The sequence below is a fragment of the Homo sapiens genome, chromosome 3 (genome assembly GCF_000001405.40).
Source record: "Homo sapiens chromosome 3, GRCh38.p14 Primary Assembly".
Lineage (NCBI taxonomy): Eukaryota > Metazoa > Chordata > Mammalia > Primates > Hominidae > Homo > Homo sapiens.
This window is the reverse complement of record NC_000003.12, coordinates 53,789,048-53,810,368: the sequence shown is the minus strand read 5'-3', so window position 1 is coordinate 53,810,368 and position 21,321 is coordinate 53,789,048. Positions and strand designations below refer to the sequence as shown.

The 21,321-nt window shown below is 50.4% G+C and overlaps 1 protein-coding gene across 21 annotated transcripts in view, besides 4 other annotated features; it reads right to left on the bottom strand.

Annotated features, from left to right (window-relative positions):
- The window catches only part of CACNA1D (calcium voltage-gated channel subunit alpha1 D), a 319,123-nt gene that overhangs the window by 3,365 nt on the left and 294,437 nt on the right, over nucleotides 1–21,321 (bottom strand). For 16 of the 21 annotated variants that reach the window (NM_001128840.3, NM_000720.4, XM_005265448.4 and 13 more), the window contains 7 exons: nucleotides 10,004–10,120; nucleotides 8,944–9,311; nucleotides 8,196–8,222; nucleotides 6,797–6,946; nucleotides 5,223–5,386; nucleotides 1,599–1,720; nucleotides 71–391 (listed from right to left, as the gene is read on the bottom strand). In NM_001128840.3, coding sequence (NP_001122312.1) covers nucleotides 71–391; nucleotides 1,599–1,720; nucleotides 5,223–5,386; nucleotides 6,797–6,946; nucleotides 8,196–8,222; nucleotides 8,944–9,311; nucleotides 10,004–10,120 — 1,269 coding nt within the window. Of the gene's footprint in view, nucleotides 1–70; nucleotides 392–1,598; nucleotides 1,721–5,222; nucleotides 5,387–6,796; nucleotides 6,947–8,195; nucleotides 8,223–8,943; nucleotides 9,312–10,003; nucleotides 10,121–12,585; nucleotides 19,389–21,321 lie in introns of those variants that run through there. The other 5 variants (NM_001128839.3, XM_017007139.2, XM_047448871.1 and 2 more) reach the window with 2 other exon arrangements.
- Nucleotides 2,464–2,963: an enhancer, noted in NCBI's record as "H3K4me1 hESC enhancer chr3:53841433-53841932 (GRCh37/hg19 assembly coordinates)". NCBI's record gives its function as "activates a minimal SCP1, AML or CMV promoter by ChIP-STARR-seq in naive H9 embryonic stem cells {active_cell/tissue: H9 hESC(naive)}" and the evidence as "EXISTENCE:reporter gene assay evidence [ECO:0000049][PMID:30033119]".
- Nucleotides 2,964–3,465: an enhancer, noted in NCBI's record as "H3K4me1 hESC enhancer chr3:53840931-53841432 (GRCh37/hg19 assembly coordinates)". NCBI's record gives its function as "activates a minimal SCP1, AML or CMV promoter by ChIP-STARR-seq in naive H9 embryonic stem cells {active_cell/tissue: H9 hESC(naive)}" and the evidence as "EXISTENCE:reporter gene assay evidence [ECO:0000049][PMID:30033119]".
- Nucleotides 4,810–4,859: a silencer, noted in NCBI's record as "silent region_14466". NCBI's record gives its function as "represses an Ori minimal core promoter by ATAC-STARR-seq in GM12878 lymphoblastoid cells {active_cell/tissue: GM12878}" and the evidence as "EXISTENCE:reporter gene assay evidence [ECO:0000049][PMID:35858748]".
- Nucleotides 5,076–5,877: an enhancer, noted in NCBI's record as "H3K27ac-H3K4me1 hESC enhancer chr3:53838519-53839320 (GRCh37/hg19 assembly coordinates)". NCBI's record gives its function as "activates a minimal SCP1, AML or CMV promoter by ChIP-STARR-seq in naive H9 embryonic stem cells {active_cell/tissue: H9 hESC(naive)}" and the evidence as "EXISTENCE:reporter gene assay evidence [ECO:0000049][PMID:30033119]".

Below are 21,321 nucleotides of genomic sequence, written 5' to 3'. Positions count from 1 at the left end.
CCTGCTGTTACAGTTGCACCTCTGCTGCTCCTGGTGCTTCCTGCCCACCACGGCCAAGAACCGTACTCACTGCCTCCACCAAGCTGTCCGCACTCCTCTGCTTGTCGCTGTTTTTGTTCCGGAAGCTGCTGGGGACAGTCAGGCTGGCTGGTGTGAAAGTCCGGTAGGAGATGTCGGGCTCGTCTGTGTACCAGGAGCTGCGGTGCAGGGACGGCAGGCTGCCGTTCACCTGGTCCAGGGCCTCTGACTGCTCCACTTGGATCAGGGGGGTGTAGCACGGTGTCCAGTCCCGGTAGGGAGGGGTTGCTGGAGGGGTGGCCCACGACCGGGTCGAGTGACTCGGTGAGTACTTCTGGGCTTTACTTGAATCTAGGCCGGCAACTGCCATGATCTGAGGAAAGAGGGGACTGTTGGGAGACCAGAGGTTCTCAGAGGTCCGGGCCTCAAACCTTCTGCGCACAGACCAAGCACCGGCGCTGCGCTCGCCAGGGGCAGTCCAGGCAAGGACTTGGAAAGGACATGGGCACACTGAAGTACGCTGAATGAATGGGCGGTGATGACTTTGTTTTCTAGCAGACTGTGCTTTCTTTTACCCCGAATCCATAATGCATTTCCTTTGGCTTTTCCCAAGGAGGTATCAGTTGCTAATTCATGAAATTGCTTCAGAATGAAGAATCAGGGAAGCCCAACAAGCTGTGGGTGTGAACACACCACCCAGTTCATGCTGGGTTTAAATACCGAAGTACATTCAGGGGAAACTACCACTTCCCAGCACTTATAGGAAAACAGCTGGTTCTCTTTGCTCTGGAGTAATGCATCCTAGAGCCGGCATTTGGCATGTGCTAAAGCACTGGGTACAAGCCCCGGTCTTACAATCCCACCACGGCAGATGCACCTTGGGGTTCACACTCTGCAGAGAGGGACGGGGAACGCTGTCTGTAAACAGCACAGGTCCATGCCCACCACCCTGTCGTGCACGAATGAATGGCATCTCTGATGTGATATTTTCAGAAAGAAAAAGCGCCATATTGTTATCCTTGAGGGAAAGCCCTAGTGAGTGGGCTCCGGCCCCACCCTCTTGCCTGTGCAGCCGCCCTCAACGTGGGCAAACTGTTCTCCCCAGACTGCTCCCTTTGTAGGCAGGGGAGGTTAACCCTGCATAGTACCCACAGGGCCCTGCCCATGGAGGGACCCATAAACTTAATGAAGGAACCACTTCTTAGAGAAAATGAAGGGCTGCACCGCTTGTTCAGAATCAGCCAAGTGGCCCCCACTCCCTGAGCTCAGATCACATCAGGCTCTGTATTCAATGCCAGGAAGAGGTGGTGGGGATCGCAGGGAGGCACCTGGGCAGTGAGGCCAGCTTTGGCAGCTGGCTCCCTGGATTCAAATGCCAGCAGTCACTTGTGTGAGCTTGGGCAGCATGGGACTCATGGCCATAGCTATTTGACAGGATTGTTACAAAGATTAACTAGACTGTAGGTGAAGATTCTCTCCTTCCCTCCTGGTGCTTAAGGCCAAGGAGAAGGGAGTGACCTGATGGGGGTCCTATGTGGGGTGCCCCTAGGTGTGGGGGCAAGGCCAGGTGGGCCGCTCACCTGTTGCTGCATTAGATGCAGAGGCAGGGCCGTGCGATGGGGGAAGATGGGAGACGACGGGACCTCTTCCTGGCTGCTCTGCCGGCGCAGGCACTCAAAGTTGAAGGAGGATCTCCGGTGGGCTGGGAAAGCAAAGGGCATCACACAGCTGTGAAGCAAGTTCTCTGCCGGGACACCGTCTTTCAGAGTCAGGGTGGCCCCGGATGCTCAGCAACGAGCCCAGGAAGAAGCATGCGGTTTGTCCAAGAGAAAGATTAGGTAGTGAGGTCTCCAAACTTTAGTAGGAGAGGATGAAGGCAGAAGCCCCAGTGAGGGATGTTTTTTAAAGTACAAACTTACTACTTTTTTTTTTTTTTTGAGATGGAGTCTGGCTCTGTCGCCCAGGCTGGAGTGCAGTGGCGCAATCTCAGCTCACTGCAAGCTCCACCTCCCGGGTTCACGCCATTCTCCTGCCTCAGCCTCCCGAGTAGCTGGGACTACAGGCGCCCGCCACCACGCCCGGCTACTATTTTGTATTTTCAGTAGAGACAGGGTTTCACCGTGTTAGCCAGGATGGTCTCGATCTCCTGACCTCGTGATCCACCCGCCTCAGCCTCCCAAAGAGAACTTACTACTTTTAAACGTTCGCCTGTTCTCAGGAGGAGGAGTGAAGGCAGCCCATAGGGCAACTGATCCGAGTCAGAAGCCCTGGCGCTGCATACTGTGGGGAGCGCACAGCACTTCAGTGCAAGAACACAAGTCCTGCCAGAACCCCACGACACTTCCCACTGTCACCTTCCAGATACCCTAAGTGTCCCCAGCAGCTGACATATCTTGCTGGGGCTCCTGTGTTTACACCTGTTTTAAAGGGAGGGACTTTACCTGCACTGATCAGCTTGACCAGGTAATAAGCAAATTATTTTTGTTGGGAAAGATTCAGCTTCTCTAGCACTGAATACAAACAAAGGACACCTCTAATTTTAAGAAAATGCTTGTCCTGCTAACAGCTCTTCCAACAGAGGCTCACACAGAGGTTAACAAGACAATCCACAGCTCCCAGCTTCACAGGGCACCAGGCCCGGGAGATCAGTCTGAATTCTGGGGCCCTAAGACACAGCCAGCAGCCTCCTCCCAGAAACCTCCTACCCCTTGCAGGGGCCTCTGTCGAGAGCACACCTATCGTTTACAAGGCATTTCTATGGCTCCTATCTTGACCGCTGCTTTTCTCGGATCACAGGGCCTCCTTTCTCAGCCCTGGCAAAACTCCACATGCCCCTCATTCCGCTATTGGAAAGCCCAGGGCCTAGCCAGGGGAGGACTCCCAGGCACACTGGGGCTGCACACAAGAGACCGGGCTGAGTCCTTGGCTAGGCACTGCCCAGCAGAGAGGAACGAGACAGCCAGTCCTGGTCTCTCGTGCCCAGTGCGCACTGTGGGGCCTCCTGGTTCAGTTGCCTACATGGGACACACACGGCTGCCTCATCAGAAAGCCTTCCCTCCACGCACCACCCAGGGGCCAACTGTGCTGTGGAGCATAGGTTTCCAGATCGAATGGCCGGGCTGGGGGCTGGGAAAGGAGAGCAGCGGTCCCTCTCCTGTATGTGGTGCTTTTCCATTTCTAAAATGCTCCAGGGATCCCCACCATCTCATGTGCTCTGCACAACACTCTCTGGAGGAGGAGGGAATCCCCCTGCAGCTGAGAACACAGGTGGAGGAGGGAAATGTTCTTCCTGTCCAAGGTCTGAGCTGCGGGGCAGCAAAGCAAAACCACCTTATGAATCAAGAGCACAGCCACTCCTGCCCACTCAGCTCCTCTCTGGCACTGTGGCTGGTGGGATTCATGTGCTTGCTTGCTTGGCCAAGTAGGCAGTAGACAAAGGCCGAGGCCCGAGGAAGGCAGTGGAACTCACAAGGGCGAGGGCCATCACCCGGCCTCACCTGCATCTGCTTCATCTAGTATTTATGGGAAAGGAGTGACTTCATTTAGCTGCATGTGTTCAGGGCTGAGGAATTAAATATTAACCATGGAAATGGGTCTGGTCACACTCCCCAGTGGGGCTGTGACAGTTGGAGTGAGGCAGAGGGCCCTGGGCACCTCCCAGTGGTGCTCTTTATAGTATATGCAGTTGGCAGACTCAGAAGCCGATGTGTCACGGCTATTTTTGGTTACTGATTAGAGTCCTGTTCAAAAATATGCTTCATTCCTCAGAAATTCCAGAAATGGATAGTCCTTAACCATCAGCAAAATGCCCACATGTCCAAAATGAAACTGTTCAGCCAAGGGCTGGAAGGGGCCAGGGCTGCACCTCTTCCCCCAGCTGGAGTTCCTTGCTCAGGATGACCCAGATCCGCCAGCTCCTGCCACCCACCGCTGCAGAGGGAAAGCAGGTGGAAGCAGCCAGCCCCAGCCCCAGCCCCTCTAGGTGGGATGGGTTTCCTGGCCCCAGAGTGAAGGGGACCAACAAGTCCAGAACCTGCCCCGTGAGCAGAGGGCACTGACAGACTTGACAGGAAGATGAGGGAGAAGCAGAGAAAGTGAGGGAGGAGGAGGGAAGGCAAGGGAGAGGAAGGGGGAGGAGGGAAGATGAGGGAGGAGGGAGGAGGGAGGAGGAGGGAGGAGAGGGGGAGGGAAAAGAAGGAGGAGGAGGGTAGATGAGGGAGGAGGAAGATAAAGGAAGATGCTAGAAGACGAAGGAGGAGGAAGATGAGGGAAGATGAGAGAAAATGAGGGAGGAGGAGGAGGGAACATGAGGGAGGAGGAGGAGGGAACATGAGGGAGGAGGAGGGAAGATGAGGGAGGAACGGAGGAGGAGGGAAGATGAGGGAGGGAGGAGGAGGGAAGATGAGGGAGGAGGAGGAGGGAAGATGAGGGAGCAGGAGAAGATGAGGGAGGAGGAGAAGATGCGGGAGGAGGAGGAGGAGGGAAGATGAGGGAGGAGGAGGAAAGATGGAGGAGGAGGGAAGATGGAGGAGGAGGAGGGAAGATAGAGGAGGAGGAGGGAAGATGAGGGAGGAAGAGGGAAGATGAGGGAGGAGGAGGGAAGATGAGGGAGGAGGAGGGAAGATGGAGGAGGAGGAGGGAAGATGAGGGAGGGAGGAGGAGCAGAGATGAGGGAGGAGGATAAGGCTTGGAGGGGCCTGAGGACAGATGGACACCAGAATGCCCAGGTGGCCCTCAGAGGCATGGGGTTTTGCAAGACAGGCCTGCGGCACAGCCAGCTCTGCACTTGAGCCCACTCTTCCCCTTTGGGGGCTCAGTCACCCCATCACAGAGTGCAGCAGGGCTGACAACAGCAAAAGCATGTGTGTGGTTTGCCTCCCTCTCAGGATGGTCCCAGGTTCAAAGACAATGCTATGTATGCAAAACACCCCTTACCAGATGTGTGCGTGCAATCTTAGGGCCCCACAGCCTCTCTCTTCTCAAAGAGAGTCAAGCATAGCACTGAAGAGGCTAGAGCTCTATCACGTGAGATATGGATGAGAAAGGAAGGAAAGCAGACACACTCTCTGGCTGGGGGCTGGTCTTGAGGACTAAGGATCCTGACCTGGCAGCACACATCCATCACCGGCCCCCAGAGCGGGGGTTGGGGGAGAGGTACACTGTTCCCCGGGAGGTTCCACCCAAAACAAAAAATCTGGCCTCACATGCTGGGGTGGGAGGTAGTAGGCGTCTCCTTGGAGATCTCCGTGAATCATAGCAAACGGGCGAGTCATCGTCCTCCAAGAATCCTTGGGGATGATGGTAGCCTCGGGGCCTCTCAGAGTCGATGTTTCTGCCTGGGTATCTGCTGTAGTAGCCATAGTTTTGCCTGGAGGTCAGAGAGGAGGGCAGTAAGGTTCTAGGTAACAAGCTCTGTCACTCAACCCTGCCAGACTGACATCCATACTCCTCTCCCCGCCTCCTCCCTTGGACACAGTAGGATTGGCTGAGAACAAGGCTGGCCTCAGTTTCATGGAAGATTCCAGATGGAGACCAAGGGCCATTACAGGACTGGAGGCCTGTGCTGAGGGATGTGCTGGCAGTTTTGATCCCTCAGCTCCAGGGCAAATGTGGATCGCAGATGTCCTGTGAGCCAGGCTCTCACCCACTCATTTCCTCCGTGAGAGCCCCTCTCCTGAGTGCCTTCCCTCTGCCAGGTGCTGGGCACCAAGGACACCAAGATGCATGAAGCATGAGCCCCACCCTCAATGGGCTTAGAAAATGCCATGAGCACACAGAAATCAAATGCGAGCTGGAAAGGGCCAGTGCTGGAAGAGAGGAACTCATGCGGTTCGTGAGGTTTTCTTTTCTGGGGGTTGGGGGAGGGATTTCAATTCCAGTCATGGAAATAAAAAGCAAGGCCCTAGAGCAGGCCCTCGACAGGGGGGATGAGGCCAGCAGACGGAGTGAGGGCATCCAAGCAGGGGCCACAGTGTGAGCAAAAGCCCTAGAGAAGGGAACACGAGTTCATCTGGCTCAGAGTCAGTGGTTTCAGAAGTCAGGCATTTGAGAGAGGCACGGGGAAGGGCTGCGGGAGCAGAGGGTGAGGGTCAGGCTGTGGCTCAGATGCCAGAAGCCACCTCACTGCCATTCCACTTCCACTTCACTGGGCCCCTGGTCACAGTGAGGTGCGGTTCAGAGAAGAGGGTGGAGGGCGATTTTCATCCGCCTGTGCCGCCTGCTACGCCTCCTAAAGCAGAGTGCCCATTGTACTAACAAACATTCTTTCTGTAGGACAGAAGCAAGATGGACCCCTCTGCTGAGTGACCCCTCATTTCTTCATCTCCCCGAGAGACCCCTTGAAGTGGCAGGAGGCAGGTGCTGTGCATGAGGACCTGGCCCAGCTCCAGGCTGGCCAAGCCGCCGTCCACACAGAGCCCTGGGGCCGCCAGAGCTCCAAGTGTTAATTCAGCAAAAACTGATCTCTCCAAAGACGGGTGGTGGAAAGGCATTAACCCAGCCACGAAGCAGGCCCATCTCCCATTTCCCAAGCCTTCACTAAAAGGCCTCAGAGGCCCCTAGTGGAAATAAGGCAACAGGTCTGAAAGAATAGCCCTCACCCTGCCTCTCTGCGGCTCTCTTTCTCCAGCTCCACTCTCCCTCTGGCCTGGAGTTTCTGCTCCCATTTTGCTTTTTAGGGGAAGCCCAAGTGCAGCTGCCGGTGGCCCTGGCTTCCGGAGTGGGCCGAGCACCAGGGCAGGGCGGCCTCCCGCTCTCCACAGGAGCCAGAGCAGCTCACCTGCTCCAGGTGGGCGAGCTGTCATCCTCGTAGCATTCCTCACTACTGAAATACTCCTGCTCCCCCAAGCAGTGGGGGTCCCTGAAATAGCCATGTATCTCTGGGTCTTCCCGGCAAATAGTTGGGAGCTGTTCATCTCCTGAGTCGGACCTGCAGTTGGGAGAGAGGATCTGAGAACCTGGGCAGGCGGCAGATAATTCCTGCTGCAGCTGCACCTCTGCCTGTGGCCGGCAACCCTGCCCGGGTGCTCCTGGCTTCTCCCAGCGCGCACCTGCCTCAGGCAGCACTGGACTGTTCCGGCTTCTGGCAACAGCACCGTGTGTGTGTCTGTGTGTGTGGTGTGCCTGCGGGCCAGGATAGGGTCTCTCTCAGTGCCCTGCACAATGTTGGTGTCAAACCATTGTGTCCAGAGGCCTTGGAGCCAAAGGAATAGGTGCAATTTGGAGAACAGAACAAAAAAATGGACCTAGGGAAAAAGACCCTGGGTTCCCAGGGCATCTGCTCTGATCCCTCCCTCTCCTTCTAGTCCCCCAGCTCCAGCCCAGTGTGACTTCAGAACCTGGAACAAAGGAGCTTCCTGGCCACTGACCTCCTGCTGTATCAAATCAGGAAGGTCGAGTGAGTTCTGGATACAGTGCCACAGGGGAAACTGTCACAGAACATGTCCACCATGTTTCCAAAGGCTGCCCTGCCCCAGGAATGTGGTAAGTCTCCCTGAAACCCGGCTCATCCTGGCCTCAGTCCTCAGAGAAGGACGTGGTGATGTCAATCCTCTCTCCAAAGGAAGGATGGCACTTCCTCTGACTTCTCCACTTTCTTGCACCCAACTTGGGCCCACATGGCTCCCGACTTCACTTCATAACATGACACAGGAAGACCCATCCTCCCTTGGCCCCCAACAAAATGGGCATTCCGCCCACAATTCAACTCAGGTCAATACATGTGGAGTGGAATATACTACACATATCTTGAGGGCTACAGGGAAAATGACAAGATCCCATTCCTGACCTTCAGGAGGTTTGGGTCATGCTGCAAAGCACCCACAAGAAGCTTGACCCCAGAGAGCAGCCGGAGCTGCCAGCCACACAGGCTGAGGCCCCTGTAAATGCACAATGGATGCTCCTAGTGCCATCGCGAGGCCTGCAGGAGCCAGCCCATGGGGTGCACCTTGTGTGTGGACACCAGTCCTTGGATGGCAACAGAGTCGACAGAGATATGGATCTGAAGGTGCCTTTGCTTAGAAGCAACAACCTCTGACCTCTGAGTCCACAGCCATGAATTATGATAACCTTTAATAGGCTGGCTCAAAGAAGTGTTTCTCATTCTTCAGCACTCAGAGAGGCCAGCTGGTAACATACCATCACAGTATTTAACACAAAAACAGGTAATGAGCACATACCTAATGTAAGTTTCATAATAGCGGGTTCTATCCAGGAAAGGCATAACATGGGAAGGAGGGAGAAGATAAAAGTTAATTTCCAACCAAATTTACAATGCAAACATCAGGCTACCTCCTAGAGTAGGGGTTAGCAAATTATGATTCGCCATCCACATAGGGGCTGCCACCTGGCCTTGTATGACCCATGGGCTATGAACGGGTTTTATTGTTATAAAGGATTGAAAAACATAAAAAAGAATCTGAAGACAAAAAATATCTCATCATATGCAAATATATGAAGTTCAAATTTCAGTGACCATAGGGAAATTTTAATGGGCACAGCCACACACCCATTCACTTACATATTTCACACTGCAACGGCAGAGCTGAGAAGGTGCAAGACTGTATGGTTCTCAAAGCCTAAAATATTGACTCACTGACCCTTTAGAGAAACAATTCACCAACCCCTGTCGCACAGTATGTGAGCACAATTGAGAGGTGGATTTTGTGGCTGCTGCTGTTTTAAGGTCCCTCGGCACCCCACACAGGATGTAGGATGGCACGTGGCCCTTATCCTTTAGGTCCATCACGTGGAGAGTGTCAGAGGCAGCAGTGACCTGGGGGGCACTCACAGATCCTGACACAAATGCCTACGGGGAACCTCCTCCATGCCCCAGAGCACAGAGCACAGACCCGCCTTGCTCCTTGGGACTAGACGCAACACGGGCAGACACCACATGAGCAAGTCCAAACACATTGTCAAGGTTACCTTTTCACACTGGACCTTCTCTGAGGCTCCCGGTCATGCTTGTGGGAAGAATGATGCCCATTTTCAGACACATGCTCAAGGTTCCCAATGCTGGGCCGCTTTCCATGGGCAGCTTTGGACATATTGGCATTATTGAGATTGGCATTTGTTGAGGTGGGAACTTGCTTTCCTATGGAATTATGGTTATGATGGTTATGACACACCGAATTTCCTGCTGGAGGAAACAGCGGTTTCTCAGTATCACTTGCAGGTGGAATTGAAGGCCTTTGGACATGCAGGGGACGGTGGGTGGTATTGGTCTGCTGAAGGGAATCTCTCCTATCACTATTAACATGATTGACATGGTTTCCAAGCAGGGCACCATTTCTCTGCAAAATAATGGGAGACAACACCAGGTAATTTAACAAGTATTTGATGCAGACTAGCTATGTTAGGTAACTTTTTCTACATGAAAAACAAATTCTAGGCAAGCTCCGTAGGATCCCTGTAAAACAATCTGAGTGTCTCAATGATCAGGGTGAATGTGACTGTGTGGCAGTTGGTCCCCCCGAGATGAGGAAGGTTACCGATTTCCTGAGCTGGGGAGCAAGCTGTCGGCTGTCACTCGAGTGTGCTCTTCCAGTTGCTCCAAGTTGGGGTGACTTATACCCAGCTGGGCTGGCTGGTGGCCCCAAGGTTGGGCATGCTCTCTGGGCTGGGGGACTGACAGCCAGCTGGCAGATCAAAGAGCTGGCCCGGGAAGGAGGAGGGTAGCAAAGGCAGCTGCCGGAAGGACTCAGGATGCTCATCCACAGGGCCAGCGGCTGTGGCCGAGCTCCTCAGAAGCAGGCAGTGAGGGGAAGCTGGGTAAGCTCAGGGAAAGAGCTGGCCTGGCCCTAGAAGAGGTGCTGATGCCTGGGGAGGGTCTGTAAGAGGGGGAGGGTGTGGTCTGAAAGCCCCTCTAGGCCCTGGGGATGGGCTGCATTCTCCAGACTCTTCTGTGGATGATTAACTGCCCAAACTGGAGTCCTGCCCTGCTATTTCCAGATGGCCAGTGTGTAGCTAGGCGTGGAATAATTACTTTGAACACATCATCTTCTTCTTCTCGTTTTGTTTCCTCAGGCTCGTCATCTTGCAAATCACACGATATAGCACGCCGGATTTCTGGCCCAATGTCATGCAGTGTCCTTAATCCCGCCTAGATCAATGAAAATGGCAGAACAGGTTAGACCACACATGGGCCCTGGGGCCAGCCTGGGTCCTGGCTTTGCTCCTTCCTGATTCAGCGGTGGGGAGGAAGGCTTCCCCAAAAGCCAATCCAGGGCACTGACTGATGTCACTGAAGGCAGTCTAAGGGTTGTTGGTATGGTCAGGCATCCAGAGGGTCAAGAAGGTCCTAGGTAGGATGCCTGAGGCCTGCAACCCCGTAACCTCCTTTGCAAAACCCCCACTTCCAAGGAACACTGCCTGGTTACTAGTGCTAGGATCTGCCAGGCCAAGAGCTTATGCCCCTGTCTCAGTGACAGTCTTCAGTAGGCTCGCCTACAAGAGCCCTATCTCTCCAAGCCCAGAGCAGGGCAAGGAGCACAGCCTGGCCGATCTAAAGGGAGGCTGATGTGGACTCCCTTGCTGCATCTAGGATGAGGAAGCCTAGGTGTAGGTGCCAGAGGCACAAGCAGACCAAGCAGTCCTCAGGCCACTGGTTCTGCTAAAAAGCCATGGAACGAGTGAGTGACACAACACACTGCAACCACCAGCACACTCGGACCACGACGGAGCAGACTGACACGCACACCGACCCGGCCACCGTGGTCATCAGGATACCCTGGCCTGTAGCCTGTGTGCAGGCTGAGAACTCACCAACAGGGGGTCCGCTTTTTGAAGATCACAACAAACTGAAAGTGGCTTATCAGCCTTTGCAGGCAGTGCAAGACCCACCAGAAGACACCCCTGGTAGATCCCTCTGGGCCCGTCACAGATACTCTGCATCTCCCCTGGCGCCCTCACAGCTGCCTTCCTCACTGTGGTCCCTGCTATGTTGAGACAGGGCCCAGGATAAGCCCTTCCATTGTTCATGACTTCATTAGGGAAGCATTCCAAGATGCTTATGCATGGTGCATGGAGGAAGGTACTGCTCCAGCTCTGAGAGAATGATGATGTTTTGACCACCAGTTTGAAGGAAAACAGTATGCTGAGTTAAAGACTAATAGGGACTGTATGGCAACTTTATTCTTTTCCACAGAAAGTCCTGCATCTGAAGAAGGCATGTCCTCTCTGCCCTGGGTCTACGGTCCTGTATCCAGGCAGCCCCTCCTCACTCACTGGCAGTCTGTCCACAGCTCTGTAGCCCTAAAGGCCTGGAGAACAGCTAAGACAATGGATGTGCAGCAAATGCTTCAACCTCAGGGTGGTTTGCAAAGGAAAACTGGACTAAGTGGTGGGTCCTCGGAGAGGAGACCGCTTCCCTGTCCTTCCTCCACAACACCTCTTAGCATGTGGGCAGCTGTGGCAAGGACAGATAGGCATGATGACCATCCCTGAGACAAGCATGGGGTAGAACAGATGCCCAGAAGTGGTTCAGGGAGGAGGAGGGGATGGTGGCTGCAGTCTGGCCAGATCCATCAGGGCTGGGTCCCACTGGTCTGGGGATGCTCAAAACTGGTCTCCTGCAGTTGCCAATGCCAGTGCTGGTGATGATAATTTAGAATGTAAAGTCACACAGGAACTTCCCAAGAGGCCCTTATAAAAATAGCCTGGTGCACAAAAGCACCAAGCCTTTGAGACAATTCTGCTAAAAATGGTGCCAGGTTGGGTTTGGTTTGAACCATTCTGTGAAGATAGAGCAGCAGATCTTTCCATTTAGTGAATTCTGAAGGTGAAGGAAGAGCTGGGAATGAAAGCTTTAAGCTTCCTGACTAGGAATGCTGAGATCTTATAGGGGACAGACAGTCATGTCCCGGGTCAAACCAAGACAGTTCTTGGGGTGGTCAGGGAGGCTGCTTCTTGCTCTCCTGTCCCTCTGATCACAGGCTCAGGATGCATGTGTGTACACATATGCACATGTGGGTATGCTTGTGCATACACGTGCGTGCACGTGCACACACACACGCACACACACGCACACACACACACACACACGCACACATACACACACTTTCCCTCTCTCAGGATCCACGAGTTCAGCACATCTGAGCCTGGGAAGTCATTTGGTTCTGAGGTGGACCCACCTGCCATTCTCATGGAAACATCAAGAAGGCAACTGTAATGCTATGTTGGTAAAAGCTCTTACACAGCACAGCTGCAGGAACGTGAAGAAAGGTCATACCCGGCAGTACTAAACAGCCGCATTTCATTCATTCAGAGCTTCCTAGGGTACATCATCAAGGGATGGTGAGCTAAGCAAGGGGTTCACTTCTGATTTTGGATCAACTGGGAAGAAAACTCGGTTACATATCTAAGGCTCCCAAACAAAAAGACAAGGTTTAAGACACCTGCTGCTGCTTCCACAAAATAAACATAGGTTATAATGCACTTAAGTCAACACCCCCAAGTAAATTTGGTACATTAATCCATATTACAAGGCAGTAAAGGCCAGAAATGCTCCCAAGTTTAAACAACATATAATCCTATTTACTGTCATTCAACTGATTGGACTAGGTCTGATTAAAAGAAATAGAAAACTATTTATTTGGATAATTTTTAACATCATCCTCTGTTGACGGGTTGACATTTCACTGAAATACACATATAACATAATTGCATAATAGAAACAAAAACTGTCTCCAGCACATCTTCAGTGATACACAAGATTAGGATTTAGTCGACAAGATAGTGCAATGAACAGACATGGGACAGAGAATTTGTTTGCAACATAAATCATGGAGAAGGTTGAAAGGTGGCCCAAGTTGCCACTTCCAAAGACAAATAATGACAACATATTTATTAAAGAGACATTAGAGGAGGAGAGAAGAATCGCTCTTCCCAGACACAGAAGCAGAGAGTCAGAAATCATGATTATATTCTGCTTGTTCCAGGCAGGAAAAAACAGACCTCATAAGAGTCAGGGACTGACTCTACTTTTTCACATGTGTTCTGGGTAGGGCCAGGTCAGGCTGTCCCCCACGACTGGGAGTGAGGGAAACAGATGTTCCCAAACTAGAATTGACATGAAGCTTAAGCACAGCACCCTGAATTTATTACATATCACAAAACATGGTAATGAAGTTTTTCTAGCACACATATCAAGCTAAAAGGTAGCTTAGGCTGCTCCCAAAATTCCATAGGCACAAGTTCCAATCCCCAGAAATACAGAAAACTATCTTAGACTCTTGAAAAAATTACTTTTCCACAGCCCTAAAAAAAAGAACATTTTTTTTCTTGGGATAAACACTTTACAAACAGTAAAATTATCTATTCTTTCATATCTCATATCTGTGTCTACCTCTATCAGCAAAATACTATTTTAATTTGAAAAGTGGTCATTAGCACTTAAACCAACACAATTAAAGCCATATAAAGTCATTCCATTAACATCACAGCAGAAATATGGTTTTGAAGAAACACAGAGTTGCTATAAAATATAAACATTATTGACTTATTTTAAGATGTCCAATCTTATAAAATATTAAACAGAATCAAGCCTAGTTTCTGGTTGATTTTAAAATGCTAGATGTTATCATAAATAATTTTTAGAAAAGAAATGTTGGCGCTTTGCCTGTAGACTGCTGCTTAAAATTTTAGACACCATTTAGTTGGAATTTCATAGATATTCTATTGAATGATTAAGTTACCAAAAAAAACTAAAATGTCTCAAAACACTTCTGAATAGCATAATATGATGACATTTTGACATCAAATATGAACACCCATTTACCTTTCTTTCTCCTGCCCACTTTTAGGGTTAAGTTTCTCCTGCCTAGATGCATTTGCAATGCTTTTGCTGCCTGTGTCCCTAAGCTAGCTCCATCAGACACACCAGCCATCTGCCAGCCCTCACAGCGCCACAGCAAGCATGCACAAGTGCCCAGAGCCCCGCCCTGGACCTACGCTGTAGCAGTGGAGATAAGAGATGCATGTCTCTAGTCGGGACTGGGCCAGGCCATTCATCTTCAGGATACAAGCGCCAGGCTTTGAGACTCCAGCCAAAGAACCCTGCCTGGCAGAGCCTGTTCCCCATCACAGGCAGGCTGCACTCAGCCTAGGCTGGCCCTGCACACAGTCGTCTCGCTGGTGACAAGTTCTGGTTAACCCTTTAGCAGGATTCAGTCTATACCCAATGAGAGGGGACCTTTTTAGACTAGTTCCATTAGAAAACAGAATGAGATTAAGTTCTTATGGAATAAACCTGCTCATCTGCAAGCTGCCGTCCGCCTCCTCAGCACATCACACGTGGGCACACCCCTTATTTTGTCACCACTCTCCTCCAGGGATAATGTGATGGCAGCCTTTGTGTCCATTGTGAATGGTCCTTGTGTCAGATATAAAGGGTTGGGATCCTGGCGCTCTGTTAGTCATCCACAGTGATTCCAACCCTCACTGAAAAGTCAGGGGTAACATGACCCCCACAAGCTCCCCTAGGGGTTGCGCTATTCCCATCACTTGGAAAGATAAAGGAAACTTTAAAGAAATTATCTAAAATATGACCTTTGCCTGCACACAATCTGAGAGCTCTCCGTTTCAGTTCCACCTTGATTCTTGGTGCAATCAGGAATCTGATTCGTTGTAATTTTAACAACCGAATCAAAAAAAGTCTTGCCAGTTTCCTGATAATAGAGCATTCTGTAAAGTTTAGGCTTAGCAGAAGCTGTAAAACACAACTTCTGTTCTGATAGCATCTTTATACCAGTCATTGTGAGCTTACATACAAATATTCCACTAGATTCTGGGAGGAAGGGAGAGCCAAAGTTATTCCCATGTGGTTAAATTATGTGCCCAAATGAGTCAAAGGCTCAGTGAGGACTCTTGGCCCCTAAGCCTGTTCTTCCTGTGACACTGGGCTGCCTTACCTCTCCCAAACTCCCCACCTCAACCACCACCCAGGCAAAGTCACTGCACCTACTGGGAAAGAACGCTGGATTGGAGTCTGAATCACACACTTACTCACCTATAGTCACGACTGTGGGGTGCCACCTGATCAAGGCTAACCCTCTTTTGACTACCCTAGCAGAGCTCTTATATTCCTAAGTCAGCATGGAGATGACAAATGATCAAAAGTTATCCCTGAAACGGATCCTGTTTGGCACACATCCTTGGTCCCAGTTGTGCACTTAGGGGAGCTGATTTTTAAAAACACTTTCTATCCTGCCCTGATTCAGACCATCACACCTGCAGATCAGCACAGGCCGCAAGACTCGGCCATGCTAGACGAATGGGGACACAGGCAGCTCCATGCCTCCGGGGAGTGGGCTGAGACTGGGAAGGGGCTGGAGGGGGAGAAGGGCTCCAGTTAGGGCAGTGCCACTGCACAGGAGCCTCTTTAACAAGGGAGATGATTAAAAGGCTCCAGCACCCTCTGCCTTTAGGGGGACCTAGTAGCATTCCCCCAAAGCAGTTCTCAGGTGTGTTCTGGGGACCTTGGGGCATCCCAAGACACTGTCAGGGGTCCATGAGGTCACTGTGATTTGCATAACATAAGGATGTTCTTTGCCTTCAACACTCTCATCCTCTCATGAGAGCACAGTGAGGTTTTCAAAGGCTGCCTGATGCATGATGTCATCACCCTGGCGTCTTTGTGCTTGCATGTTCTTGTTTTAAAAACTGCTCCGTTTTAATTTCTAAGACAGTAAATATTGACACACAAGGGTCTTCAATAATGTAGAGTATAAAAGGGTCCGAAGACCAAAAAGTTTGATAACTGCTGATCAATCTATCCTCCAACAGGCACTACTACTTTTTCCTCAGGTGTAGACTTTTTTACCCCATCTAGGATTCCCACTCTTCTGTGGACCTTTCTCCACTCTTGGAAGAAATGGCCTTCCTATGGCTTCCCTGAGCCAGCCTTTGGGACGTCTGAATGGGTTGCCTTCACCATGCCTTAGAATTATGTGCCCTTCCAAGATCTCAAACAGCTGTGTCCCTTAGGTCTAAGAGGTGCCAAGGAGAATGAACTCACCTGGGTTTCTACCCACCCTAGAACTGTTAGTAAGTCTTAGCCAGCTCCTTCGCACAGATCATCTAATCATGACACAATTGGGCTGCCAAAGGACACTAGGTGAATGGTACTAAATAACAAGCCACGATAATTACCACCTTTTACTACTACGTCACATCACTTAACTTCTTTGCAGTCTTTCTTCTCAAAGACTCCTGAACATAATTATTATTCTCAAAGGAATGAGATCTCCCCACTTTCAGAAAGAGTATAGAATGTAGTACCCAATAGTCCTGTGGATTAATTTTTAATTGGGTTGTTAAACAGTATAAGCTATTTGAGAAGAGCCTCCCTACAATGTATACTGGCCTGCCTCTCATCTTCTATCCAGGAGCTGAAGAGTTTAGCCTATGGATGCTGGTGTTGGGGGTGCCAAGTTTGCTGTGTGTGTCTGTGAAGATTCTAAATAATGAACTTGAGTCGTCTCTCACAACTTTGACTACACTAGAAGCTACACTTCTCTGCCAAGGCTTTAAGAGAAACGACAGCGGTGTCTCTGCAGTTTGACTGCAAATCAAGTTTCAGGAAGCCTTCTTTCCCTTTTGAGTTGAAGCTGGAAGCAGCTTTCCTGATTCCTGGCTGTCTTTCCTAAGCTGGCCTTGGCTACCAACCTTAGCCAATGCCATTCCCCAGCAACACAGCCAGGCCCAAGTGGAGAAGACTCTCTTGTTCCATTTAAATCACTCCCTAAGTCCCATCTAGAAAGTGGTCACTTGTCAGTTTTTACTTATTTGAGGAGCGTGGAGAAGGCACATGGAAACGCCGCCCACTTGAATCGCTTGGGGCCTTTCTGCCGAGGCCTGAGTGTATGGAATCTTGGATCTAGAAGGTCGGTCACACCGGCCCTCTGAGACAGAGTGACACATACAGGGGGTAGGCACGTGCCATCCTTCAGCACTGAATCAACTCAACGTCGGGTGGGTCAAAGACAGACAGAGGGACTGACGGACCCCCACAGGACTGACGGGCTTCCCTTTCAGGGACGATACATCACATTCTTCATAAATTCTTATAACTTAATATACCCAGGTGCTGCCCAATCAGAGCAGAAGTGGGCCTTTGGATCACAGCAGGGTCCTGGAGGCTCCCTGCAATGCCAGGCACTAGACCTGTAGCTGCTGGGTCACAGAGCAGTCTCAGGAGGGGCTGGGCTGCTGGCAGTGGGGAAGGAGACTCAGGTGCTAGGGTAACAGCGGTTGATACCAGGTGCAGCTGTGCTTCAACATCTTGACAAGTGGCCTGGCCACACTGGAGTGTTCCTGGCTTTCTACCCCATCCCCCACATCACCATGTGGTGCAGCACGAAGCAGTCAAACCTGCCCTTGGGCCCTGTGGACTGTGCTGTGAGAACCCACAACACCTACTGTGAGCTCCTGGATGTTAACTAGTCTGCACACTTATACACATGGGGGCAGAGTCGGGAGCTAGGCCCATTTCCATAATGAGGACAGCAGGTCCACTGAAGTCCAGGTAGGTTAGACCTCTCGGTACAGTGAGGACTGCAGCCAAGGGCAAATGTCATAGGCACAAAAGACACCACTGGAAAAGACCCTGAGGCTGGGACTGACCCTGTCAGTCACACCTAGGACAAGCCTGCAGAAAGCATACTTCCCACTGGTGACATTGCTCCCACCCTCTGCCTAGCCTTTGGGACTCCTGCCCTCCCAGGATGCTTGGAAGGGTGTCCACTTCTACAGGAATAGGGCCCCCCAGAGTTTGCTGGCTCTCTCTTCCCCTGTCTCCGCACACCCCACATACATACACACGCACTCGCACACACACACAGCTTCCAGCCTGTACACATCAGGGCAGGTGAAAGGGGCTCATAAGCCCTTCTTTTCTCTATACACTTCAGATACTTCAATTTTTTTAGATTCTTCTGCATTACCTCTGCACTATGGCTACTTTGAATGTTGATCTTAAAACCCAAACTGGCCACTTTGGGTGTCTTGGGCTCAGCATCAGATGTACAGACTCCAACCACCACTTGGAATCAGCTGAGAATTCAAGATCAGACACCCTTATCGACCAACATCTTGGGCAAAAATCTGCTATTCTTAAGATGTGAAAATGCAACCTGCAGGGTTACCTCTGTTGACATCTTTGTGCATTGCCTAGATTTCTTTAAAAGGGGGGAATTTTCCTTCTCAATGGGTAAGTATGGTACAGAACAGAAAAGAGATCAAAGGAAAACAAGAATTTCTTAAAGTTCTGGTAGTAAACAGGCATATGATATTATTATTGTTGTAGTCTTAATAAGCAATTATACGTTCAAAGTGCTTTACAATCACTTAGCTATTCCTCACAACAGCCCTGTGAGGTAGGTCGACATTATTAACCCCATTTTACAGATGGGGGAAACTGAGGCACAGAGAGGTTAAGTGTCTTGCCCAAGGTCACGCAGCAAGTGAATGCTGAAACTGGGACTAGAACCCAGGTTCCCTGACTCCCAGTGTCCTTGAAACTAGACCACACTGCTTCCAAAGAGGCATCCCCAGACTGGCTCTGAGCACGAATTAAAGACGGACAATGTTAGATGAGGTTTGGGTGTGGTGGTGTTTCCTGTGGACACGTTAAGATGGAACCTGAGGTGTTGCCTGGATTGGTTTTGGCATGCGGGTGTATGTGTTAGTTTCAATGGGTGTATCTGAGCTTCCTGGCCTGTCCACTTCTCACTGTATTCTGGACTGGGTCTCTGCAGAGAGCAGGGCCGGACGCTCAGGAGGTCATGGCGGACTGGCATACAAAAGGAACTCTGTCAGCTCAGCGCCGAGGGGCCTGTCAGTCTTTGGGAGTTCGGGCAAACTAGGGATGCAGGACTTTGGAATGGAGTCAGATACCCACCTTAGGCAGGTCTGCTTAATCTTTTTATTTTTATTTTTAATTTTTTGTTTTACTGGCCAGCATCAGGAAGTTGTGTTCATTTCATTTCTCTGTGGGGCAGCTGCCCCCCTCCTTTGCTCTCTCTCACTCTTTCCCTTTCTCTGAGTCTCTGCTTGGAAGGGAAAACTGTTAAGCTTTGTACGTTCCCTTTCACGAAAAAGAACCACCGTGAGCAACGTCCGCGACAGGCAGCCCTGGCTCCGCAGATGAGCCACGGCCCCGCTTCCACCTTCCGGAGGAGTGCTTTGCTTGGAAGGGGTCTCCCTGGGGCCTTGGGTCTGCTTTTTCCTGCATTTCTTCTGAAATGCTGTTTCAGTAGAAATAAGCCCACTTGAGACTTTTCCCTTTCAAGGCCTTAGCCACAAACGCCTTCCGACTAACCAGCTTGGTGCCGTAGCTCAGGCAGAAAATTCTAAAGCATCCGTTCAAGCATCTGAAACAAACGAATCAGCCAGTGAAATCTCATCTGTTAGCATCTGTTCTCCTCTTAGATTAAAAAAAGAAAAAAATTTAAAAAGAGGCTTTTGATGGCTTCAGGTAGAATCATGCTTTAAAAAAATAACAAAACAAAACTCCACTACTTTTTAGACTAAGGTGACCAGGCAACAGGTGTTTGATCTTCTACAGATTAAATCTCTGTGGAGGATCCCATTTTCTTCTGTCTTTATGCATTGAGCCTCCCTAAGAAGACCACGCGGGGCACATCAGGGGCTGAGAGTCCTTTGCTTCTTATATACCACCCACATCTCCCCTCAACCACCTGCATCGCCAACTGGCGGCTCGGGCACAGGCTTTACAATTATTCAACCTAACAACCTAATTCTTTATAGCTAGAAATAATGGTCTCCTCCTTAAACCAAACTTCCAAACAGGCAAAAGGACTATCCCTCCAAAGCTTTCCTACAATGGAGATGGAAAGGCTCCCATCTGGGATGAGTGGGGGACATAGTGTCCTCGGATTCCACCGGAGTGCATGTCTTTTGCAGAAAGGAAATTCTTGAATGTTAAAAGAAAGAGAAATGAACAAAACTTTTCCCACTTTGGGGTCTTTTTCTTATCCACAAGACACTGGACTAATGAGTGTCTGTAACTTGCACAGATGTCCTCATCTAGAAGGTCTGATGGGACATTCAGCATGCATTGCTGTCTGCTGGGAGGAGGACTGAGAATTTTCATGGCTGCATGGCTGTGTTCCTTTATTTATTTGCCCCTCGTGGAAACTCGTGGGTCACTCGGATGTAGCAACAATGGATGACGAGCAAATGCTGAGTCAACCCAAAGTGAACATGGCATGTAGGAGATGCGCAAGAGGAAATTAAAAAAGGCCTGATGCAGCTTCTCTCTGGTTCCCTCTGTAGAGGGGCTGGAGAGAAGGTTGGTTTTAATGATGAAGATGGATGGAAGGATGGAAACTGCACACTCATTCAGACCACAGAGGCCAGAAGACACCGGATGCCGAGCTCCTTCCCACACATGGATCCAGGAGCTCAAGCCATTCCCCTTCATGTGGGAGGCAGCATTGCAGTTGGTCTGAACACAGGGAGATCAGATGGAGCCCACAGGGTTCAAAACCACAGTGCGTATATGTGTCCTTGAAAAAACATTCCCTGGGGGTGGGGGCGCAGAGGTCTTGGGCCCATCCTGGAAGCTGTTCAGACAGACTGCACCCTACGCAGCACAAGCACGCACATGCCTAGGTCCGCACTTCTGCGCTCACACTGCGACGGCCATGCTCCACTTTCCATTAGCACGCAGTCTGCCAGCCATGGGGCACCCTGCTGTGGGAGGAGGCAAGCCATCCTCCATCTCAACAGGCCACGCCCACTCTCAGGGGCTTCCCGAGGCTGTGTCCTTGTCCTAGTTACACTGGTGGTATATCTCTCCCACTGCCGTCCCACCAAATTTTCCTAACTGCTACATCGTCACCCGGTATTTCATCACGCAGAAACGAAAGCCTACTCATGCTAATTAAACATGGAGTAACAAATCACACTCACAGCCATTTCTACAGCACAGGAAGCCAAAATGCAATTAGAATTATCCTTCAAGGAGACAAAAAAAATGTCTATGTTTAATGTTTCAGAATCAAGTACATTTTCAGTTTCTCTATTAAGATTATGAACACAACTTAATTTTCCAGGCTGCATTCTCAACATAAATTACAGACGATGCTTCAGCTCCCAATGGAGCCATGCGAAAATATGTTGGTATCATCTAACTGGAAATGTTTGCATTTCATCAATAAAATGAAACTCTATAAACAATAAAATGAAAAACGTTTAGGAGAAACCCTCAACATTATTGCAACACAAAAAGAGTCTTTTAACCCACAACCTGCCGCTGTATCATTCATGCCATTTGACCCT